Raw genomic sequence first — 14,998 nt, 5'->3', positions numbered from 1 at the left:
CTCGAAGTTAGATCGTAAAAATCGCCGAGAAGTCAGACAGATACCCCTCACTGGCTCGAGAAAGTCACGTGAGGTCCATAAAGTTAGTTTTATGGTTTTGGGGAGTTGACACCGCGCAGTATATTTCACATTCTCCAGAATGTTAAGTGACACTTTAACTGCTCGCTGTGGTGGGGAAGGGGGCAGAGGTAGGTGAGCACTCTCCCAGCCTGGAGCAGCCGGACCAGCCCAGAAGGCAGCGGCGGCCCAGGCCAGCATTCCCGCAGTAAGTCGCTTTCAGCTTTCGCTTTTACCCCTTGCAATTCTGGGGCCTGGGACTGGGGGAAGAAAACTTGTTTCCACCTGGGGCTGTGGGGTGATGTAGGGGAAATTTAGCCTGTTTTATGCACCCAGTTCTAAGGGACTGGGTGCCTGAAATGAGTGCTCTCAGTTTCTTAAGGCCTCATCGGTCGGGGGTGCCTGATTTTTACCAACAGGAGTGTCTGACTTTGTGGGGAAAAGGGTTTGTGTGGGGGATCCATGCTCCCTCAGTGCCAGCGGAAATTTAGGGACCAGGAAGGAGGGGTGTATATTGCTGAAAGAAGGGGCCATTGGTGGGGGCCACTTCACTGCTGGATATCTTCAGACAACTATCCCCCCATCCTCCGGAAAGAAACTTTATGACATTCATTTGTCGGAGGTGTGTGGGGGTGCACCGCTGGGCACTTTTATCTGGATACATCTGAGCTGAGAAAAAGCACCGGGTAGGCGGCTGCTGTGGGCTACCTTGCCCTGGGGTGATCTCTGGCTTTCCGATCTTTGAAGCCCATAAAAAGAGGTCCCTCCGGTTATCTTTGGCTTCATCAGGCTTCTCTGGGATGGGGAGCACAGCGCTGCTTTTGCCTCCACCTTCAGCCTGTTGGTCTCAAGCTAATCTTTCTCCTTGGCTCGAAGTAGGATCCTGAAGTCAGACTAGGGAGCAGACAGAGAGGGCAATTCCCCCAATTCAAAACCTAATTCCTGAACCAGGAGTGGGGGAAGGGAAGAGCTTCTTCTCTTGCCTAGAGGTGTTAGGTGTTTAAGTAGAACTCTGGCAAGCCCTCCTCAAATAAAATCAGCTCAAGAATACAAATCCCTCAACTGTCGGGAGGAAATAGATTCAGGAGCTGGAAGAGAAAATAGGAAAGGTGCTCTTTTTTCCTCTCTTTTTCCCTCTTCTTTTCTGGGCACACCCTCAAAGTCCCCTTTGTTTTGTAGAACCATAAACCAGAGAGACTTCAGGATTTGATCCCCAGGGGTTCTGTTATTTTCTAGGGAAAAGTCACCCTTCTAAAAGTCAGAGGCTTCTTCCCCACCAAATTGACCCCCCTCCAATTTAACACCCGTGGGGCTAACTACCCTGTCACTCCTACTTTCACCAGCCTGCCATCCCTTGATTCAGCTCACCAACTGCCATAGGTAGTTTCTGGGATTGGATATGTGGCACCTCGAGGGGCTTCTGATCTTTGGGACAAGGATGGGGTCATAAGACTCCCTTTTTCTCATTAAGGGACATTGGAGTTCTCCCCCTGTCCTCTTTCTCCTGAAGCCACTTTCTATTCCCTGAGCTCTCTATCCACTGCCCAAGCCTGACTTACAGGAAATCCTTAACAGGCTTTAAGAGCAGAGTCACCCTGGTTTGAAGACATATCATCCCAAGAATGATGAGGGCATTTGTATCCCTTAGAAAGGAGACACAGGTCATCTCCCAAAGGATCCCCAGCACCACTGAAAATATAAAGAAGTGCTGGAGGCACAGCTTCCACAGTCTTCCACTCTACAAGGCAACGGAGTTGACAGACATGCAGACAAAGAGCTCTGCAAGGGAGAGTCTGACCTGGGTCTCCAGGGGAACCCCATTCCTATTGTGCCCCTGGCCTCACTCTAATATACTTCCCTTTCTGAAAGCCCTTCTGGAAGCTAGAACCCCAGATAGTAAGGCCTGCTCCTGAAAAATTGTTTCTTTGCCCCCTCTCATGTCAGTTCTGTAGGCTCTAACATCTACTAGGCATATCTGGTCGGATTTTCCAGGATGGCAAAGAGCAAATTGGGGTGCCCACTTCCACCTCAGTGAACAAACTCTTGAAGGGTCTCCTCCAGCTCTAAGCAGGTCCTGGAGAAGATGCCCTAGGCTGGGCTTTCCTCTTCTCCACTTCAGGCTCCCTGAGCTGAACCCCAGTCCTGTCTGAACCCCAGTCAGGACAAGCTGCGGGAGGCAATGAGAGGTGTGAAGGGATTTCTGATGCCAAGAACTCTCTCCTCTGCCCCAGACCTCTGTCCTCTCCTCCTGCCCTCCCAGGCTGTCTCCCTCTAAGAGAGCTGCTCTACTCTCTCCAGGGCTTTGCTCTCCCTCCTCTCCCACCTGCTTTCTCTCCCTGCCAGTCCAGGCTTCAACCTCTTGAGCTATAAGCCAAGCCGGTACCCTCTGGCCAAATCTTCAACCTGGGGCAGGCCCCAGGAGGTGACAGCTGGAGATTAAGGCTGCAGTTTCTCTTTTCCCTCTGAGGCCAGCCTGGCCACCACTCGGTGGACAATTCAATTTTGATTTTTTTTGTTTTGTTTTATTTGGTTATTTGTTTTGTTTTGTTTCTCTGAGGCCAATGGGTGGGAGGAAGTATAAAGAAGTGTAAACAGGAAAGCCAGCTGGGCCTGGAGTTCCAAGTGCCCATATTTCATCAGCTTCCTCTCCATAACTGTGGCAGGGACACTTAACCCTTCCCTGGCTGTGAGAAGTTATTCTCTGAGGGCTGGTGAGCAGAATGGGAAGATCTAAGAGGCAGCTCCTTTCCTTGCCTGGTTCCTTTATCCCTGGGAATTGCAGGCCAAGGATTCTGAGCAATGGAGAAGACAGAAGCTCAGCACAACCCCCCCAAACTCAGTCCCTTCCCAGGGCTAGTCTCCCCAGCATGGACTTCTCAGCTTGGGGGACCAACCTGGTCAATCTCGGAAGACAGGGCTAGCAAGAATGAGCTCCCCTCTTTTAAGGGAGGGGATACTGGTAACCCTCCCCATTTTTGGAGTTTTTCAGAGTAATCGGATTTTGAGGCTGAGATCTGCCCACAGTGAGACTTATTGATTGCTGCAGCGCTGTTACACATCCATATTAATTAACACCGCCTGGAAACGGAGCTGTTTGGGGAGGGGAAGGGAAAAACGGGGGCCCCTTAAGCAGAATGGATATTTCTCCCTAAGGGACTCTGAGGTTGAGATTGGAGGGCCCTCTGCACATGAATCCTGTGGCCCTCCCCAGGCTTGAAGCCCCTGGAGTTCTCAGCAAGGGCAAAAATGACTTAGTCTCTACAGTCAACTCCACACACAAGTCTCATGGTGGTAATGGTTGGCGGGGTGGGGGATTAAATACCCCTCAGGTCGTTCCTGCAGGCCCCACCCCACTCTTCCTTGTCTCTGGTGGGTTTCCCCAGCCCTCTAATGCTCTGTCTCCAGCAGAGGTTAGTGAGCATCCTTTCTAGAGGGGTTAACCTCCCCCCTCACCTTCCTTTCGACTTCTCAAAGGTAGAGGCTTATGACGGTTTTCGAATTTGGTTTGTTTTATTTTGCTTTAGCGTCCCGTTGTTGTTGGTAGTGATGGTCTTATGGCCTTCTCCTTTCTCCTATCCCTCCCTCCAAAAAGTGATTAAAATCTGTTAAAGGATTTAATTAAGAGAGTTAAATGAAAAGGAAGGAGGCGCAAATGAGTTGGGGGAAAAAACCCACACCAAAGCTATTCTCAACGATTAAATCGCCATTTTAACAATATAATGGAGTTTGCATCCTGAAAGGGGAAATCAACGCTCATATCTCATCAATAATTCATAGAGTCCGGGATCATGCAGAGGTCAGCAGACGGGGGCAGCAGCGCCGGCCTACGTGGGGCTCCGAGCCGCTGCAGCATACATTACGCGCCGCCGGCCACACCGCCGCAGCCACCTCCGCCTCTGTAGACCGGGGGTGGGGGCACGCCGGCAGGTTTAGGCGGATCTTTCGTTCTTTCTTTTGGCGAATTTACTGATTGCAGGCTCCAAGAGGAAGAGGGGAAATTTGGGAGCCTGGAGAGTATTGGACTTCGGGCAATTCGGGAACCTGTCGGATCCCAAAAAGCACCTTGTCCCCAAGTTTTAACGTTTCTCTTCCCTCTCTTCTTATTCCTTTTCTCAGTGATTTAGGCGTCTCCTCTCTTGTCTCTTCTCCCCCTAAAGTTCCTCTTGGAGAGAAAAATGCACTCTCTGCAGTATCCTCTAGCTTCTCCTCCCCGGAAACAGTTCCCAGTCTGCGAGGCCGCCCTCTGGACTGCCTCTCCCCTAGTGGATCCGGGCTGAGCCTTGCGGCTTCGGAGCACAGCGGCTGGTTTTGGTCGCAACGATCCCTGGATCCCTGACCTCGGAGCCCGGTGGGGTAGGGCTGAATGCATCTAGGGAGGAAAGGTACCTCGCAGGCCCCAGACCATTTTGCCTTACCAAAAGATGACCCAGGCCAGTTGGAAAGGTGGGGAGTCAGGACGGAAAGGCACACCTAGGGGAGAAGTGGAGGGAAAGTGCCAGCCTGTGTGGGGCGTCGCCTCTTGAGGGATTTGGAGGCATGATAGAGGATACCCTATTTCGGGGCTCCTGCAGGCTTGTCCTTAGGTGCATGCATCTCTCTAATTCGTTTTCTTTTCTGTTTTCTGAATCCCAAGGGATCCCAAGGAGGGAGAAAGGAAATCCTTCCCAGGGAGAGGTGGGGGTCTGGGAGGCGATATTTGGGCGGAAGGGAAACCGAAAGCGCACGGGTTGTCCGCACCGCCGCTGCTCTGGACCAGAGGCAGAGGCTGTAACATCCCGGAGCTGCCAGTAGAGTCCGCCTTAGACCAAGTTCACAGCCAGGCTGGGGCCTCTGAGGCGTCAGCGAGCGGCCGCGCAAGGTGGCCCCGGGCCCCCCCGCATCGTTGGGACACTGAACTCTCCCTCTAGCCCTGTGAGCACAGCGGCCCCTTCTGCTCCCGAGGAGCCCCTGCTCCAAGCTCTCTCCACCCTTCACCCCAGAAATGCCCTTCTCCAGGTCAGCCCATTCTACTGCTCGCCATAGGTCTCCTCATCCGGCAACCTCGGCCCCACTCGGGTGTCAAAAATGAAGAAGGGTGGGTGGTCAAAAGCCCTTCCAGGCATCCCAATAGAAGAGACCGCTGAAAATGCGGGAGGTGGGTTCCGCGTCTTTTTCCAAGGAGTTATTTAATAGTCAAAAGACTCCTCTTGCCCAGGTCTAAGGCTCTGGGGTAGTAGGGACATTGGCGAAGGGGGGAGGGGTAAGGAAAGCGTTTTGCCCTGGGGTTTCTGCGGCCGGCGCGTAGCAGAATGAGACCCTGGGTGGTGAGGCCAGTGTTATTGCCGGAGGGGTCGCAAAGTTGGAGGGTCAAAAGTTTACACCATGCGTGAGTGGGAGCGGCGGAGGCGACTAGCGGCGGGGGCGGGGTGGGGCGGTGGGGGAGGGGGCTGTATGTGTGTGAAGACGGACGAGGGAGCCTGGGATGCTGGAGGTAAGGAAGACTTGTGGGTTGCAGAAGTGGGGGAGCAGAAATGGGCAGCGAAGAGGCAGATATCTGGGGAAGGGAAACTGAGGAAGGAAAAATCCCTTCTCCAAAAAGGGCGAGACTGGTGGTGGTGGTGGTGAGTTGTAGAAAAGACAGCGCTTAAGGGTGTGGTGAACCCTCTGAGCAATTTTCTCTTCCAAAGATAATCTTTGAGTCACCATATTAAATTTAATTAAAACCTTCCTAGCCACACACATTTTAGAAATTCAATTAAATTACCCCCACGTCTTTGTAGGACTTCTGGCAGGGCCAAAGAATACTTCCAATGTGAAGGTTTGATTTTCACCAACATCAACTCACTCTGCTTGCCCTAAAGGGGTCAAACTACTGGCTCTTTCAATCCTCCACCCCTGGGAGAGGCAGGCCTGTTTTCAAGAACCCTTAACCCCCAGGCTGTGTCAGGAAGGTGGGGTCCATGAGCATGGGCCAACACTGGAGCCTTTCCAAACTCTCATTCCTCTCTCCAAATTGCTCCAGTTTAAGAACTTGCCTACTGAAAGATTAGCTTGTTAATTCTCTCACTCTCTCCCAAGCCTCCATTTGTGTGTTCATCTTGACTCCTTCTCTTCCTATTTGGATGAGGGAGGAGAAATGCAAAGGAAAAATACCAAATGGCCTCACGGAGATCTTTTTTACGGGAGTTGAAACAGACAACCTGAAATGAACTTTGAATCCATACATTAAACTTAGCTCATGAGCAAATGCCTAGAGAGACTCAGTAATTATAACACTGGGGCATATGTCTATTTTGGGTCTTTAAATGACTGTTGTATTATGAGATGTCATTATCTGCTCTTCCAAGCATTTACTATAGGAGGTACACTGTGGGCGTTTTTCCTTCCAGGATGGAGATAACCTGAGAGTTTCTGTAAAGATGCCTTTTGAAACATGGCCAGAAGAGACAAAGGTTTAATATCAAATTTCAAATAGATTTAACCCAGGGTTTTGACTAAACCAATTGGGTGAAGGTCCCTATTTCTGCTTAGTCCTTAGGTGAGTTTCTCTGCAGTGTCAGGCCAGGAAGGAATTCCTGGAGTCCTGAAGAGACAGATGTCAAAGCCTGAACTGAAGAATCCATCTCCTTCTGTTCCAGCACAGAACGTTAGCAAATTTAGGTATAGACTGGAGCAGCCCAAGGTCCTGGGCTAGAAGGACCAGGATGGGGAAGAAGTGGCCTCTGCCATTCTGGACCAAGCTGGGTGCCTTGGGGAGTTCTTTCTTGACCTCTCCGTACTAGGAGGATACCACCCTACCAACTAGGCTGGAGCCCTGTTTCAGTCTGTAGACTTGAATTGGGAGGAAAGGGAGTCACCTGACCCACCTCTGCAGGACCCTAGGAAGCTGGAGAAAGGGAGAAGTGTGTTGTAGGCAATCCACCAGATTCTAATCCTGGAGAGACAAACCCAAGAAAATCTCACTATTTTAAATGCCTTCTTGATCTGCTCCTGAACCTCCTTGTGTGGGTGATGGGGGTAGGCAAAAGTGTTACTGTATTGATGAGAACGATTCTTCGGGGGGAGGGGGAAGCTATTGTTTTGTATTTAAAGGACAGTTAAAGCTCTGAAAGTTATGTCGCCGGCTTTGACCAGCCCAGCCCAGCACCTCTCTCAGGGTTCTATCTTCCCCAAACCTGCTGGGTTGTGTGGACCAAAATCTTGGCCCCAAGAGGTGGAGTGGTCATTTCTAGGCCCTGGAGCTTCCAAAGCTTTTGTAGAAATGAGGATATCTCTGACACTTGGGGGAGCAAATAAAGCAGATGGAGTGTGCAATGGGGTGGGGATCCGGGCCCTGGCCATACAGGCATTTAGGGGTAAGGTTCAGGGAAGGGGCCTCTTGCTCAGGCCTGCTCTCTGGGGCCCAGGTGCCCAAAGCCATGCTTTCAGTTTTCCCCGTGCCAGCCTCATTCTCAGGCCTCAAAAGGATCCCACATGAAACCCCACACTCTCTCTGGAACCCGAGCTGACAAAATATGGGAATGATGGAAAATCAAAACAGGGGCGTGGCCGACTGACTCCTATCCGAATGGGACTTTTTTCGGGTGGGGGTTGGATGAAGAGAAGAGAAGGCTCTGGCGAAAAGTCGAGCTGGAGAGGATGAGCTGAATCAAATTTCTGCTCTGTCATTTTTTTCCCAAGTAATGACCTACGCAAAATTCAATATGACCCAGCGAACTGCGCGAGCATATTATAGTAACTGCCTGCTCGTGGGGGAGGCTGGGAGAGAGGTGAACCGCAGGTCACGGCGTCTAAAAATTATTAAAATGTTTGAGAGCCTCGTGACGCGCCTAGCTGTTTAACAAAGACTGCCAAAGTATGAGATTAACACGAAAACTTGCGCTTCCAAAACAAAAACACACCAAAAAAAAAAGTCACGTTCCGGCTTCTGAGGGAGCCCGTGGCTGTGTCCGCCGCCGCGGTCCGGTTTTCCGGACACACAATAGTGGACAGGAGAGAGCTCAGCTGTTGCCCGGCGCGTCCGCGGGCGGCTCGGCGGCCGGCGGGGCTGGGGAGCCTCCCGGTGAGTACCCTCGCCCGCGCCCCCTCTGGGCCTTTCTCTCCTCCGCGCCGCCGCCGCCGGTGCGCAGGCCGGCTGGGGACTCGCCTCCGCTCGGGCCTTCGGTTTCGCTCCCTCGCTGAGTCCCTTCTCCCCGCCAACAAAAGGTGATGATTCCTAGCGGACTGGGCACGCCTGGACGGCGGAGGGTGGCTGGGAGGGGCGAGGTCACGCTAGCAACCTGTGGCTGCCAGGAGAAGGCGGCTGGGAAGCCACGGAAAGACCCGGGAGCGCAGGGGAGGTGGCTCAGCTCGCGCGCAGCCCCTGCTCTTATTTTACTATTATGCGTGTTGCTGTTCGTATCCTTCTGGGCGGTGAAGGGGAGAGGCAGCCTCCCGCTCCGGTGAAACCCGTCCTGGGAGTCGCCCATAAACCCTGTTCTCCATCTCAGGCGGCTGGAGGGGTGAGGGGGGTGCGGCGCCTTGGTGGGATTGGCAGGTGGTGACTTCCAGGGCGCAGAGGAGAAAAATCTCTGCTCTTGGGCGCCAGGATCAAGGATACCCAAACCCGCGGTGGCTCTGCCGCCTGTTCCTCTCTCTTGGGGTGCTGGGGCACCTGGGCCGCATCCCTTGTGAAGTGTAGAGCAGCAGAGAGGCCCGGCCGCCGGCCCAGCGGCCCTCCCAAACTTCCGAAATGCCGACGGGTTGGACGGGTTTCCGAGAGCTGGCGAGTTGAGAAGGACAGGAGGTATGGGGTGGGGGAGGGGCCTGGACCGTTGGAGTGGGTCCTGGAGACCCTAAGTGGCCTATGACAAGATTTGGAAAGGTCCCTGGTTGACGCTAGGGAGCTGGTGGGGATCCTAGCAGCGCATTTTGTCTGTGGGCCCTGGGCCAGACTCTAGTCTCCCTGAGTGCCCAGATGGGGGTCTGAGATTACCTATTGGACCCTCTCTTGGCAAAGACAACCATAGTGTGATAGTTTGCTTTTTTCTCCCAAATATGTGTGAGTTCAGCCTGTCTGGGAGAATGTTGATGTTAGAAATCAGGCCCAGAGGCCAACATTGGCAATTCCTAGATTTAAGATTAAAAGAAAATCAGAGGGTCTCTGGACCTAGTTGTGGGCAGGTGGGAACTCTCCTCCTACCCACCTGCAAGGTCCCAGGACTGGGCATAGGCAGAGATCTCTGGAGTGTTGCAGTTAGAGGGTTGTTTTTGTGTTGTTCCTGTATTTGTTAATGAAATTGATATTATTTTGACTTCCTCACTAAAGATGCAAGTATTTCTCAGACCTAGGGAGTTGAGTAGGGAGTCTGGGTGGGGTGGAGGCTTTTTCTATGCACATTTTCCCTTACTCTGTCACAGCTTTCACAGTCTCAGTTCCCTCCAGCCCAATCCCCAGACTCTCAGCTTAGTAAATTCACGGCTTCTGGGAGCTTCAGAAAGTTGGTTCGTAAACCCCAGATGCCCATTTTGGCCCTACCACCAGCAACCCAAGCAGGTGGCTAGGCGAGTTCATATGTGTTTAGAAGGAAAGGACCCGTCTGGGGCTAGGAAGGTGGGGAAATGGGGTTCCTCCCCACACCTCCCCGGGATAGACCCTCTCTCCTGGCTCCCAGGATGTGTGAGAGGCTGGGAGGGGCCCTATATCATCTGGCTGCATCTTTTATGGTTCCTCATTGCCCTTCATTCGGAAATGAAACGCCTTTGATCTTTTCTCAGGTTGTAAACGGAATTGCCCGTCATTAAATATCCGGGGCCCCATCTGCTTGGTCTCCCAGCATTTTTCTTTACAGCTGTTTCTCTCTCTTTTTACCACTGAATTTTTCCAAAAGGACTTTTATTACACCACCTTCACACCCAGCCGCCTCTTCCTCCTCCCTTCGCTGAGAGGCGCTTTGGAAAATATCTAGATATTCGTTTGATCACAAACTAAAGGCTTGGAGGGGCACGGAGGAGCCGATTGGGGTTTTGTTTTTTCTAAAAAAAAAAAAAAAAAAAAAGTCCTGGGGGGAGGGGAGGGGCGCGAAGGCACCCAGAAAGGCCTGAATCTGACTTCGTGGCAGCCTCAGAATGACCCTTCCTCCTTTTGTGCTTAGCTAATGTTTACATCTCATAATTCATGCGCCACCGAGAGTTGCGCGGCGGCGGCGGAGGCAAGGTTCTCGTCCCTTTGCGAACTGGCTACTTGAAATTCTAATAGAAGAGGAGAATTGAAAACCTTGTAATCCCAAGAACAGACTCGCACTGCCTTTTTCTGTTCCCAGAGCTCAAAACTAGAACAAAACGAAATAAAACCAAAGCACTCAAACCACACCCCAAACGAAGAAGGCGCGGAAAGTAGGAGAACTGGAAAATTTCTGGGCCAAGAAGATCTGTCTGTCTTCTGTATATACCCTGTAGATCCGAATTTGTGTAAGGAATTTTGTGGTCACAAATTCGTATCTAGGGGAATATGTAGTTGACATAAACACTCCGCTCTTATTTTTCCAGAAGAAAAAAATATATATATATGTATATGTAGTATTTTTCTGAATGAGGACAGTCTGGTGACTGGCCACACGAAGACTCCTTCCTCTTTATTCCTCTATCTTTTCCTCCTTCAACTGGTTAGAGATGGAGAAATCATCTACCTGAACTCTCCCCACGCCTGCCCCTGGGAGCCTTGGTCCCTTTTCACATCTCTTTAAGAGGTTAATGTTATTGTTGTTGAAGTTTTAAATTTATCTTCTCGTCCCAAACGCACCCATTTTCTATTCTGGGCTCAGGGAGGCTTTATTGGAAATTGCGAAAAAAAATGACTTGTCTTCAGTGTGCGAAGAAGGCAAAGGAAATTTGTTTAACAAACGGATGCTGAGGCCGCCTTTCCGTTTCAGTTCAGAACAAGATGACCTGGAAATACTCGATTACCAAGGAGTGTTATTGTCTGTGTGGGTCACCTCTATGGCTGTATCCCCAGTATCAAAGGGATGTGAGATTTCTATTCGCCGCGGAGGCGGCGACAATTAGAACGTCTCGGACCCATGGTTAGTATTGCTCGGGTGGTTATGGAATTAGCAAATTGCTAATCAATTTTGCTCTCAAAAGTTGCAGGTTTTTTTACCCCAGCGCTCTGTCTATAGTGTGGGAAACCAAGTCGTTTCTCCAGGCTTGGGCCGTGTGGGTTAAAGGGAGGAGTGGATAGGAGAAGGGGGACAGACGGACTGACGGACACAGTCTAGCTAACCGTGCAGCTAAATGAGATTTGGAAGGCGAAGTCTCCCCGAATTAGTGCATGAATTTCCTATCGATCCGCCCGCGGTTCCATTCATCTCTGACAAGTCCCTCTGCGCACCCGCCCTCTAGCTCTGGACGCCTCCTCTCTCACCCCTACCCTTCCCCATCCAGCTGCAGAGAAAAGCCCCAAGCTCTGTGCTCTGGCCCCCGTATGGGTTCCCCTTTCGAGACGGAGCCCCCAACCCGCCAGTAACCTAACTCCCCATAGAGACGCAGGGTGCTAGCGCTCCCTCCCGCCGAGGGGAGGAGACTGGGGCCTTTGGAAGGTACAGAATGCTGGGCAGAGGTGAGGCAGAACAGGAGGGCTACACCGGGAGCCCCAACTTCTTAAGGGATCTAGGGTTTGCGCTCTGCCTAGCGCCCCAACAGGCCCTCCAGTCGCAACCTGCGCGCGCTCTCTCTCTCGCTCTCTCTCTGATCCCGGAGAGAGCGAGGCAAGGAGGGGGTCGCCCCGCAGGAGCCCTATGTAAATCCTGGTGTTGGGTGGGTGGGTGGGGAGGGGGAAGGGAAGAAGGGGAAATAAACCTCTTTGGCTGGAGTGGGGTCCGGGTGAGCAGATTTCCTTATCCGGGAATCGCAGGCGGGGCGGCCATTGGCTCGGAGGATCACGTGGGCGCCTAACTTTGTTCACTTGACAGTAAGTAGGAGGGCTTTCGGAAACAGGAAAACGAGTCAGGGGTCGGAATAAATTTTAGTATATTTTGTGGGCAATTCCCAGAAATTAATGGCTATGAGTTCTTTTTTGATCAACTCAAACTATGTCGACCCCAAGTTCCCTCCATGCGAGGAATATTCACAGAGCGATTACCTACCCAGCGACCACTCGCCCGGGTACTACGCCGGCGGCCAGAGGCGAGAGAGCAGCTTCCAGCCGGAGGCGGGCTTCGGGCGGCGCGCGGCGTGCACCGTGCAGCGCTACGCGGCCTGCCGGGACCCTGGGCCCCCGCCGCCTCCGCCACCACCCCCGCCGCCCCCGCCACCGCCCGGTCTGTCCCCTCGGGCTCCTGCGCCGCCACCCGCCGGGGCCCTCCTCCCGGAGCCCGGCCAGCGCTGCGAGGCGGTCAGCAGCAGCCCCCCGCCGCCTCCCTGCGCCCAGAACCCCCTGCACCCCAGCCCGTCCCACTCCGCGTGCAAAGAGCCCGTCGTCTACCCCTGGATGCGCAAAGTTCACGTGAGCACGGGTGAGTGCGTGGGCACCCCTTCCCCCTCCCACCCCTGGAGCTTTACACCAAAGGGACTTCGGAGGCATGGGTTGGGGGGGGGTTGAGCTGGGGAAGCCAATTGTCCCCGCTATAAACTCGCCATTGCCGGAGATTTACGGTCGCCTGTTTTCAGAGCCACATAATTACATCCCCCATAAATTTTTATGGCCTGGTGGGCCCTGCGCCTTTGAAGTAGGTTCCCCATCCTCTTCACCATTCTCACCAGCGACTTTTTCGCCAGGGAGATACAGTCTTAATGAAGTTGGAAGTTGGGGAGGGGTGGAGGAGGTGGAGGAGGAGAAGGAGGAGGAGGTAATCCGTATTTAAGCAGAGAGTTGAGTCAACTCCCAGTATTTATTTTTTCCTTTCTTCCAGTCTGACTCCTTGGCTGGAGAAGTGAGCAAAAGTTTTCAGTAGGGGTAGGCACTGCTTGGAATCTGAGCAGCAAGGGTGGGAACTAAACAGAGGAAAGGTTTAGGGAAACCTCCCCTCCCTCTTCCACCCCCTCATTCTCCCATTCTGGGGGCCCCAAGCTGAGGGGGAGAGAGGAGCAATTAAAACCTTGGGGGAGTCCTCACACGCCCCCCTTCCCCACCACACACCCAAACAAGGACACAGCACAGCCCTCCAAAACTTGGAGGTCTCTTTCTCATTCTTGGGTCTTGCATTCTTCCCTTTTCGTTTTTCCCCGCTCTCCCTCAGAAGGAAGAAGAGGTGGCGGGAGAGGGAGGGAGGGAAACGCTGTGTTCCCTGGAAGAAAGGACTCTCTCTTTCGGGGGCAATAAAACTTTCTCTTTCTCCCTCTCTCCGTGTGTGTCCAGTAAACCCCAATTACGCCGGCGGGGAGCCCAAGCGCTCTCGGACCGCCTACACGCGCCAGCAGGTCTTGGAGCTGGAGAAGGAATTTCACTACAACCGCTACCTGACACGGCGCCGGAGGGTGGAGATCGCCCACGCGCTCTGCCTCTCCGAGCGCCAGATCAAGATCTGGTTCCAGAACCGGCGCATGAAGTGGAAAAAAGACCACAAGTTGCCCAACACCAAGATCCGCTCGGGTGGTGCGGCAGGCTCAGCCGGAGGGCCCCCTGGCCGGCCCAATGGAGGCCCCCGCGCGCTCTAGTGCCCCCGCACGCGGGAGCCACGAACCTCGGGGTGGGGGTGGGCAGTGAGTGCAGGGGATGGGGTGGGGGGACAGGAGGGGGCCCTGGGGCCTGGGCCCCGGAAAAATCTATCTGCCCTCCCCCACACTTTATATACGAATAAACGCAGAAGAGGGGGAGGGGAAGCTTTATTTATAGAAATGACAATAGAGGGCCACGGGGAGGCCCCCCCAGAAGCAAGATTCAAATCTCTTGCTTTCTTTCTTAAAAAAAAGAAAAAGAAAAAGCAAGAAGAAGGAAGAAAGAAAAAGACAGAAAGAGAAATAGGAGGAGGCTGCAGCTCCTCGTTTTCAGCTTTGGCGAAGATGGATCCACGTTTCATCTTTAATCACGCCAGGTCCAGGCCCATCTGTCTTGTTTCCTCTGCCGAGGAGAAGACGGGCCTCGGTGGCGACCATTACCTCGACACCCGCTAACAAATGAGGCCCGGCTCGGCCGCCTCCGCCTCTGCTACTGCCGCTGCTGGAAGACAGCCTGGATTTCCTTTCTTTGTCCCCCACTCCCGATACCCAGCGAAAGCACCCTCTGACTGCCAGATAGTGCAGTGTTTTGGTCACGGTAACACACACACACTCTCCCTCATCTTTCGTGCCCATTCACTGAGGGCCAGAATGACTGCTCACCCACTTCCACCGTGGGGTTGGGGGTGGGCAACAGAGGAGGGGAGCAAGTAGGGAAGGGGGTGGCCTTGACAACTCAGGAGTGAGCAGGAAAATTGAGTCCAAGGAAAAAGAGAGACTCAGAGACCCGGGAGGGCCTTCCTCTGAAAGGCCAAGCCAAGCCATGCTTGGCAGGGTGAGGGGCCAGTTGAGTTCTGGGAGCTGGGCACTACTCTGCCAGTCCAGAGTTGTACAGCAGAAGCCTCTCTCCTAGACTGAAAATGAATGTGAAACTAGGAAATAAAATGTGCCCCTCCCAGTCTGGGAGGAGGATGTTGCAGAGCCCTCTCCCATAGTTTATTATGTTGCATCGTTTATTATTATTATTGATAATATTATTATTACTATTTTTTTGTGTCATGTGAGTCCTCTCTCCTTTTCTCTTTCTGACATTCCAAAACCAGGCCCCTTCCTACCTCTGGGGCTGCTTGAGTCTAGAACCCTTCGTATGTGTGAATATCTGTGTGCTGTACAGAGTGACAATAGAAATAAATGTTTGGTTTCTTGTGACCAGCACAGCGTGTTTTTGTTGAAACATTGGCGTAAAGATATGGACAAATGCCACCCAGTGTATATTTTAAGCACCCTACTGGGTTCAGCCCCACATTGTGTGTGGTTGAAGATTTTTTTC

At 52.7% G+C, this 14,998-nt stretch overlaps 2 protein-coding genes, 1 long non-coding RNA gene and 1 other non-coding gene across 10 annotated transcripts in view, besides 3 other annotated features; all 4 read left to right on the top strand.

The window, feature by feature from the left end:
- The first annotated feature begins 148 nt into the window (after positions 1-148).
- The window catches only part of HOXB3 (homeobox B3), a 41,372-nt gene continuing 26,522 nt past the window's right edge, over positions 149-14,998 (top strand). For 4 of the 7 annotated variants that reach the window (NM_001384747.1, NM_001384750.1, NM_001384749.1 and 1 more), the window contains exon 1: positions 149-265. The gene's annotated coding sequence lies outside the window, so the exon portion shown is untranslated. Of the gene's footprint in view, positions 266-8,010; positions 8,242-14,998 lie in introns of those variants that run through there. The other 3 variants (NM_001330322.2, XM_017024560.2, XM_047435901.1) reach the window with 2 other exon arrangements.
- Positions 4,681-4,800: an enhancer, noted in NCBI's record as "active region_12333". NCBI's record gives its function as "activates an Ori minimal core promoter by ATAC-STARR-seq in GM12878 lymphoblastoid cells {active_cell/tissue: GM12878}" and the evidence as "EXISTENCE:reporter gene assay evidence [ECO:0000049][PMID:35858748]".
- HOXBLINC (HOXB associated long intergenic non-coding RNA) lies at positions 5,466-10,073 on the top strand. The gene has a single exon (NR_183916.2). It is a non-coding gene; the product is annotated as an HOXB associated long intergenic non-coding RNA (long non-coding RNA).
- Positions 7,626-8,438: an enhancer, noted in NCBI's record as "H3K4me1 hESC enhancer chr17:46659314-46660126 (GRCh37/hg19 assembly coordinates)". NCBI's record gives its function as "activates a minimal SCP1, AML or CMV promoter by ChIP-STARR-seq in primed H9 embryonic stem cells {active_cell/tissue: H9 hESC(primed)}" and the evidence as "EXISTENCE:reporter gene assay evidence [ECO:0000049][PMID:30033119]".
- Positions 8,103-8,152: a silencer, noted in NCBI's record as "silent region_8653". NCBI's record gives its function as "represses an Ori minimal core promoter by ATAC-STARR-seq in GM12878 lymphoblastoid cells {active_cell/tissue: GM12878}" and the evidence as "EXISTENCE:reporter gene assay evidence [ECO:0000049][PMID:35858748]".
- On the top strand, positions 10,443-10,552 carry MIR10A (microRNA 10a). The gene has a single exon (NR_029608.1). It is a non-coding gene; the product is annotated as a microRNA 10a (primary transcript).
- HOXB4 (homeobox B4) lies at positions 12,040-14,883 on the top strand. Its single transcript, NM_024015.5, has 2 exons — positions 12,040-12,527; positions 13,370-14,883. The coding sequence occupies exons 1-2, from the start codon at positions 12,071-12,073 to the stop codon at positions 13,666-13,668; spliced, it is 756 nt and encodes a 251-aa protein (NP_076920.1). The 5' UTR covers positions 12,040-12,070; the 3' UTR covers positions 13,669-14,883.

The sequence above is a fragment of the Homo sapiens genome, chromosome 17, assembly GCF_000001405.40.
Source record: "Homo sapiens chromosome 17, GRCh38.p14 Primary Assembly".
In the NCBI taxonomy this organism is placed as follows: domain Eukaryota; kingdom Metazoa; phylum Chordata; class Mammalia; order Primates; family Hominidae; genus Homo; species Homo sapiens.
This window is presented reverse-complemented; position numbering and strand designations above follow the sequence as displayed.

Coding starts and splice junctions, on each gene's coding strand:
- HOXB4 (NM_024015.5), top strand. CDS start 12,071: ATGGCTATGAGTTCTTTTTTGATCAACTCAAACTATGTCGACCCCAAG. Junction 12,528..13,369: donor CAAAGTTCACGTGAGCACGG/GTGAGTGCGTGG, acceptor GTGTGTGTCCAG/TAAACCCCAATTACGCCGGC.